This window comes from Homo sapiens, chromosome 18 (assembly GCF_000001405.40).
Source record: "Homo sapiens chromosome 18, GRCh38.p14 Primary Assembly".
Classification (NCBI taxonomy): Eukaryota; Metazoa; Chordata; class Mammalia; order Primates; family Hominidae; genus Homo; species Homo sapiens.
Window position 1 is genome coordinate 24,758,826 of NC_000018.10, and position 8,884 is coordinate 24,767,709.

At 38.4% G+C, this 8,884-nt stretch overlaps 1 long non-coding RNA gene across 1 annotated transcript in view; it reads left to right on the forward strand.

The window, feature by feature from the left end:
• LOC105372028 (uncharacterized) overlaps window positions 1–7,820 on the forward strand; it is a 40,865-nt gene extending 33,045 nt beyond the window's left edge. Inside the window, exon 3 of the long non-coding RNA NR_134604.1 lies at window positions 7,656–7,820. This is a non-coding gene — a long non-coding RNA (uncharacterized LOC105372028). The remainder of the gene's footprint in view (window positions 1–7,655) is intronic.
• The last annotated feature ends 1,064 nt before the right edge of the window (window positions 7,821–8,884 follow it).

Here is an 8,884-nt window from a genome sequence, read left to right on the forward strand (position 1 = left end):
GAAACTGACAAATAGTTTTCCAGAGTGGCTGTATTATTTTGCATTCCCACCAGCAATGTATGAGACTCCTGGTTTCTCTATATCCTTACCAGCACTTGGTCCTATCTTTTTGTTTGTTTGTTTTTTATTCTAGTCATTTTAGTAGGTGTGTAACGGTGTCCTGGTGTGGTTTTACTTTGCATTTCTCTATTAACTAATTATGTTGAACAGCATGTCTTTATTTGTCATCAATATATCTTCTCTAGTGAAATGCCTATTTAAATATTTTGCCCATTTGTGTATGTGTAAGTGGTGTTGTTTCTTTTGTGGAGTTTTGAGAGTTCTTTGTATATTCTGAATACAAGTCCTTTGTAAGGTACATGACTTGTAAATATTATCTGTAGCTTGCCTTTTCATTGTCTTAACAATGTTTTTTACAGAGCAAGCATTTTTGTATTTGATAAAGCCATGTTTGTCTCTTTTTAAAAATAGGTTGTGCTTTTGGTGTCTTATTTAATAAGTTTGCATAGCCCAAGGGTTACTAGGATTTTCTTTTGGAAGTTCTATAGTTTTATATTTTATATTTAGATCTATGATCTAAATTTTTGTTTAAATCGTGAGGTACAGGTCAAGGTTCATTTTCTAACATGTGGATTCCAACTGTTTCAGCATCATTTGATGAAAGCTACTATGCTTTCTTTAATGAATTGTCTTTGCACCTTTGTCTAAAGTCAATCGGCCATATTTGTGTGGATCTATTTCTAGGCTTTCTATTGTTGCCCATTGATTTATGTGTCTAGCTCTTCACCAATACAACACTGTCTTGATGATTGTCACTTTAGAGTAAGTCTTAAAATAGGTTAGTGTGAGTACTCCAACTTTGATCTTCTTTTTCAAAATTATTTTAGCTATTCTAGTCACTTTGCTTTTTTATATAAGTACACGGATCATAGGTGTACAGTTTGCTTAACTTTTGGAAAAGTGAAAATCTCATGTAGTTACATCCAGATCAACACTGTATATTATCAGCATCCCAAAAGTCTATTTCATACCCTTGGTAAGTTATTACCTCTCCACTGCCCACTACCCACCTTTGCCCATAGAAAACATTAATTCTGACTTCTACACCAAAGATTATATTTGTCTATTTTTGAAATTTATACAAATGGAATCATGCAATATATTCTCTTGGATGTCTGTGAGATAAGACATCTCTGAAATTCATCCTAATTATTACACGTGGCATAGTTTGTTTTTTGCATTGCTGACAATAGTATTAATTTTTAATAATACACCCTAATTCATGTATATATTCTGTTTTAATAAGAAATTTGGGTATTTTTAAGGCTATTAGAAATATTGCTGCTAAATCAAACCACAATGAGATACCATCTCATACCAGTCATAAAGGCTATTATTAAAAAGTAAAAAAATAACAGATGCTGGTAAGGTTGTAGAGAAAAGGGAATGCTTGTACACTATTGGCAGAAGTGTAAATTAGTTCAACCATTGTGGAAAGCAGTGTGGCGATTCCTCAAACAGCTACAAACAGAACTACCATTCAACCCAGCAATCCCCTTACTGGGTATGTAACCAAAGGAACATAAATCGTTCTACCGTAAAGACACATGCACGCATATGTTCATTGCAGCGCTATTCACAATAGCAAAGGCAAGGAATCAACCTAAATGGCCATCAATGGCAGATTGGATAAAGAAAATGTGGTATATATGCACCATGGAATACTATGCAACCATAAAAAAGAATAAGATCGTGTCCTTTGCAGGAACATGGATGGAGATGGAGGCCATTATCCTTAGCAAACTAACACAGGAACAGAAAACCAATACTGCATCTTCTCACTTATAAATGATGAGAACACAAAGAGGGGAACAGCACACACTGGGGCCTGCTTGAGGGTGGAGGGTGGAAGGAGGGAGGGATCAGAAGACATAACTATTCAGTACTAAGCTTAGCACCTGGGTGATGAAATAATCTGTACAACAAATGCCTGTGACACAAGTTTACCTATATAACAAACCTGCACATGTACCCTTGAACCTAAAATGAAAGTTAAAAAAAGAAATATTGATGCTAGAACGTATTTTTACATATCTTAGTGAATATATGCATACATTTCCGTTGAGTTGCCTAGAAAAGAAATTGCTGGGTTATGGAATCGCTTATGTTTAGCCTTAGTCTATATTGTCCAACAGTTCTGCAAAGTGACAGTCATAAATGTAGCCAGTAAATTTAGTCAAGTTTAGGATCATAAGTTTGTTTGTATTAACTTCTTTTTAAATATTTCCAGAATCTGTAGTGATAGCCTCTTTCTTGTTTTTAGTATTAGTCATATGTGTCTCATTCTCTTTTTTCTTGATTAGTCCTTGCTAAATATTTATTAATTTTAATAGTATTTTCAAAGATTTGTTGCCTTTTTTTCTATTAGATGATTCCTTTCTATTTCAATAATTTTTGTTTTTATTTCTATTTTTCTCCTACCTACCTCCTTCTTTCTCTTGGGTTAATTTGCAGTTTTGCTAACTTGATGTGAATACCTGTGTTAGAGATGGTAAGTTTTTTTTTTTCATTTCTAGTTTATGCGTTTAAGACTACAAAATTCCCTCTAGCCTGTCTTTACTTGCAATAACATGTTTTCATCTAGGGTCATTTTCCTTGTGCCATTGTTGTTGTTGTCCCTGCTTGTTAAGTGCTCATTTGAAACTGTCTGCTTAGCCTTTATTTTTGAAAGCTATTTTCCTTGTGTACACAATTCTAGGTTGGCAACAATTTTCTTTTAGCTCTTTAAAGACATTTTTGTTCACTGTTTCTATTGAAAACTCAGCCATAGATATTGTATCTCTCTGAACATCATGTGTCTGTTTTCTGTCTCTTTATAAGATACTCTTTTTAGTGTTTGTGGGTTAGCTTTATCTGTATTTATTTTGCTCAGAATTTGTAGAATTTCAGTTTACTAATATCTTTTGCTTGTTTTGGAAAATTCTCACAATGTCTCTTCTGTTCAATTATCTCTCTCCTTTATAGACTACAACTACACTTATGAAAGTTATTTTCATCATGTTTCATATGCCTCTTAAGCTCTTTTTCTGTGTTGTTTATTCTTTCCATTTCTCTGAAAAGTATCAACCTGAATATTTTCTACTGATATACATTCCAGATCACTAATTTTTTCTTCTGCTATATCTAATGTGCTTTTAAATCCAACTGAATTGCCATCCAAGTGAATTTTTAATTTCAGTGTTGTATTATTAAACTCTGCATTTTCTGATGATGTTAATGGATTTCAGTAGTTTGATGAAATTTTCCATCTTTTTGTCTATTTTGATTATGTTATTTATAGTTATTTGAAATTTTATGTCCAATAATTTGAACTTAAATATTTGCTTTTGAGCCTGTTTCTAAAGTCTGTTTTTTTAAACTGTTGTTTTTGGTAATTTGATCTTGTATTCTGGCATGCTTGGCAAATGTGACCAAATGGCAGACATTATAATGCCTGCCAAAAAATTGTAGATGCTATGGATGACGTCTGCCTGTAGAGAGGATTTAATTTTCTTCTGACAGGCATATAGACCACAGGAAGATTATCTTGATCTATTGGATTTGGATTTCAGATTCAATATGAGGGTTTGTGAGAACTGGTCTTTTTTAGGTTCATCTTTATTCCTAGAGCCTATCCCTTCAAGGAGCTCAAGTGTGAGCCTGGTATGTTTATTAGAGATTCTCTTTCTTGGCAGGCTATGAACTTCAATTTTTTTCCAGCACCATGAGACTACTGAACTGTCTGCTTAGATTTTTAGCTTCTTAGCAGCTGCTTTTTACTTGTTTTCTTGGCAACTTGCCTCACACATGTGCAGCTAGAAGTTGGAAAATACCTCAAGGAAAAATTGCACATATAATACCCACTTTCCATCTCTGCAGTTAGCTTTTCTTTCAGATCATGAGTCCTCAAGTTGTAGCGTCCTTGGTAGCCCTATCCACCAATTTTCAACTCCCCTGCCAATGAGACTGTTAGAAACTCTTGGCTGCTGATCTTTGTTCAGCATCTATGTTCCACAAAGCAAATTGGCAAATGCCCTGAGGGTGGCAAGTAGAAACTAGTGTAGTGTTCACTTCTGTCTGTTTTTCTTCTTTCCAGCATTTTGGTCTTTCAAGATCGAGGGACATTTGGAAGATATAATGGAACTCCCACAGGAAAGAGTTTATGTAGAGTAGATTGCAAGAAAACTCAGGGATGATGGTGAGGATTGAGTGGCAAATAGAGGAAACATTTCTAAAATTACAGAAGTTTCAGCTAGATGAAGCCTGGGAAGGGAGCCTCAGGTAAATTCACAAAAATGCCCATGAGAAAGAAAGAATCAGTTTTGAACATCTGCTTGGCCCAAAGAGTAAAAAACCATCTTAGGGCAGTCCTAATTTACATAAGGGAAGAGTTTTCTTATTCCTTTTTTTCCTCCCCTTTTCCCACACTCCAACCTATACTGAATTAGTAACAACAAATAGATAATGTGAACGAGAGTCAGGGAAAAAAAGAAAAGAAGTATCCAATCCTCCCTTCCCACTAAGATGCCAGCCTGCATTGTGTTTGTGTCAAAAGTAAACACAATATCATGGAATTGCCTATATTCTAAAATAATTCACTAGGTTTTGCCAACCCTGCTTCCAGTGGGTAAACAATTGTATCACTGAAGCTCAGGTTCCAGTTGGCTGTCCGTGGTGGCTGTATGGGGGCTCTTGGAATGCAGTTTGAAAGACAGAATGGTTCTTAAGTCTTAAAGCCCCATCCTGCCTGCAGAGGAACCTTGAAGAACAGAATTGAGCCCAATATGCTGATACATTCTTTTCTGAATTCTAAACTTTTTCCATTCTTGCCTTTTTAATTCTATCTCATTTCTAAGCATAAAATAAATATAGCACTGAAAAAGGTGTTTGTGTCCCAGTGACAAATATAATCCATGTAATTGTTAAACGGGAAATTCCAGAATCCCCCTGTGGCCTTGCCTTCTATTAGGCAGGAAGAAGCATTCCCCCAAAGACAGACTTGACTAGAGCCTCGTGTCCCCAGAGGGCCTCACTGGAAGTTAGTCTTTGGAAGTTCTAGCATAAACATACTCCCACCCACCTGGCTCATGTACAGGCCATGAACAACTTGGCTTTTCTTCCCAGCAGAGCAATTTCTGTATGAGTCACTTGTCTCCTTATTTGGGACTTTCTGCCTCAAGGGACCTTGAAGATCCATCCAATACTGTACAGAGAATGCACTCAGCAAACAATGAACAATAGAAAACCTACGAAAAAGAAAGTCCCCTCCTCCATGTGGGCCTGGTACTTAGTTCAATGGAAACCAATAACCTAGGCCAAAGTAACACACAGATGCAAACACACAAGGGAATATGTTAGAAGATGAAAGTTTGTCTTTCTGAACAAAGAGACTCATCAATTCGGATCTAGAAAACACAGCGTCCCAATGCTGGGAAGTCTTGGGCATTCTTCCATAGGAGCAGTCATAGTCCCTAGACCCAACCTTCGCTGGAGCTGCTGTTGGAGAGCTGCCTGTTATGTACAGAATGGACACACTGCATAGAGCCAACACTTGAGAAGAGAAGGCTAAGCAAAAAGACACAAGAGGGCTCATGGTGGTAGACTGGAGCATACAGGCAGTGGCCTTGCCTATAAGCATCCTTGGCTTGGTCCCAATGTCCTTAGTGAAGGTTTCAAAGTTTTGTCCTGATGCATTGGCATATCACAAATTATTTGGCTCTCTGCCTATTTTCAGATCACCATCATGGAGGAACTTCACTGAACAAGAAATATATCCCTTCACAAGCCAAGTACAGTAAATGAGTTTTTATGCTTGTGGAGTATTTTTAATATTGTGGGATAAGAAGGGCCTTTCCTTTTCTATCTTAATTTTCTGACTATGCAAACCATTATTAGTATCTTGGGGCCCCTGGAAATAGCTAAGGTCCCTATTGGTGCTTCCTTGACCATGGACTCACTAACATTTATCTGTCTAAAGTGAAAGGTATCTTTAATGATCCCAGCTGACATTTATTCAGTGCTTCTCACTCAGCTATCCCAAAGAGCTCTACAAGCTGATTTACGGGCTGTCCGTGGAGTAGAAGTGAATGGTAATGACCACAGTGATGATGATGGTGATGGATCACCCAGGCTCTGGTATTTAATATGTCATGTTGTTTCTGGGGCGTTTCCAATTTCCTGAACTTCCCAGTGATTAGAAGCGTAAGAGAGTGCTCCATCCATTTCATCTTGCATTTCTCAGTGGAGATAACTCTGATTGGAGCCTTGGGAGGCCTTAATTCTCGGTCCCCCTTATACAAATTTTAGTAATGAGCAGAGGGCAGACATTTTGAAATGCTACAAAGTTTGTCTGCATCTCTCCTCTTACAGAACATGGAGATGTGCACTCACCTCCTCTTTTGGAATGCCCTCAGCCACCTGAAATTCTCTGGGGCTTTTCTGCTCCATGGGGAAAAGGGAGGAGGCAGAAGCCAGGATAAACTGTCAGTTTAGAAGGTTTATGGTGACAGAATCAGGCACAGTGCTTTCTAATTTTTTTTTAAGCCATAGGAAGCCCTGCTCCCTTTTCAAACAAAATCCTTTAGTTCATCAACATGTGAAGCAGATAAAACTGAGCTGTTCCACCCCAATCCTTCACCCTCACCCCACATCATGGTGGCCCCTGGGACCTGGATGGAAAACCTCTGGCTTCCTGGGGTTCTGGGCTGTGATCTGTACATAGGAGACCTGAATTTCTTTCTAGGGCTCCTCACAGACTTTTGAGTAAATTATTGAATATCTATGTGTTCTCTTTGTTCCATCTCTAAAATAGAGACTAAACAGTCTTCATTGAATATTACCATTGAGGCTTTTAAAGGTACGGTGTAAATATGCCTGAACTGTAGTAATAATAGGGACAATATGATTTCAGGCATAGTTCTGAATGCTGTCCTTTATAACCTAATTTAATTCCTATAACCTCTCTATGGGGCAAGTACTATTAAATATTATTATCTCCATTTTAAATGGTGGAAACTGAGGCACAGAGAGGTTATACAAATTTCCCAAGGTCACTCATCTTGTAAGTGTTGTAGGCATGATTCAATACCAGGCAGCCTGATGCCAAAACCCCTTGATATGAACCCCTGACACTTGGTTTTAAAACTTGTTAGCATATTAGAATTGCTTAAAGAATTTAAAAAATTTCAGAAGACCAAGATGTACCCCAGGCCAATTAAATTACAGTCTCTGTGTATGGAATATTAGTGACAGCATTTTTAAAAACTTCATTTATGGGTTGAGTTCAGTCCCCCCAAAAAGATATGTTGACACCCTCAACCTTGATACTTAAGAATGTGACCTTATTCCTAAATAGGTCATTGCAAGATGTAACTGCTAAAGTTAAATGAAGTCATATTGGAGTAGAGTGTGCCCTTAATCAATATGACTGGTGTCCTTATAAGCAGATGGCCGTGTGAAGTTGGGGCCTGATGAGTTGTGATTGGCCTCTGATTAGAGCACAGCATAGCCGAAGAAGAGAGTGTACACAAAAGAAAAGAAGTCCAGAATGGTAGGTGAAGGCAATTTTCTTTGGCTTCCAACTTCCCATCTTCTCCTGCTTTCCCCTATTTTTCTAGTCTCCATCTCAATCTTCTTTGCCACGTCATGCATGCCCTTGAAGCATTAGAATTCCTTAAAGCTTCATGGGAGAATGCCATGGGATGATGAAGACAGAGATTGGAGTCATGCATCTGCAAGCCAAGAAATGTACAAGATTGCTGGCAAACCACCAGAAGCTAGGAGCAGACAAGGAAGGATCCTCCCCTAAAGGTTTCAGAGGGAGCCATGGCCTTGCTGACATCTTGATTTCAGACTTCTATCCTCCAGAATGGTGAGACACTGAATTTCTGTTGTTTTAAGCCATCCAGTTAATAGTATGTTGTTATGGAAGCCTGGGAAACTAATACAGCTTCCTGAGTGATTTCAATGTGCAGACAGGTTTGAGAACAACTGCTATATTTCAATTTCATTTCTTAAGAACCTACGGTGTGGATGGGGAAAATCCCCTGTTGGATAATTTAGTCTTGATTAGGGCTGGTGCAAGTCATTTGTCATCCTATGCTAGTACTGGCTGTACCACCTTCTAAGGCATGGGCAGTGTTGACCAGGTGTATTTGAGAAGGAAGATAGTTGGCATTAGGGGAGAGTTAGAGAATCACTCCCAATGCTGCTGTTCACAGGGAAAAGTGTAGTGGTGGGAGTGACTATGGGTACAGAGTAAGAGGTGCCTGGCACAGGAGAGTTGAGGATGGACAGGTGCAGAATGAAGGTTTCCTTTACAGCCAGCACAGTATAATACTGCAAAAAAATGGTCATGGGAGATAGAGCACATTCAATAAGGCTACCTGCAATCTAGTGATGCAGGCACAGGTAAAATAGAGCCCTATGAGAGACCATTAAAGTGTTTGGAAGAAGGGATATTCAAATGCCTCACAGAGAAGGTGATGTTTAGGCCCCAGGGTCAGATTTGATCGCTGATATGGGTGAAGGCTGTTCCAGGCACAAGGAACACCTTGAGCAAAGGTGTGGAAGGAGAACGGGCAGAGTTAGGAGGCTGTTGAGTTGTGACTGGTCTCTGGTTAGAGCATAGCATAGCTGGGGAAGAGAGCTTGGATACAAGAGAAGAAATCTAGAAAGGTAGATTAAGGCAATTTTCTTTTGGGATTTGAATATCATGATGAACGTTTCTTTCAACTTCACTTTGTAAGCAGAATGGAGTCAACAGAGGCTTTTGATCAGGGAAGAAACCCCACCATTGACTTCAACGATCTTGATGACATTTCACAGGGGCCTTCTCCTGTGTCTG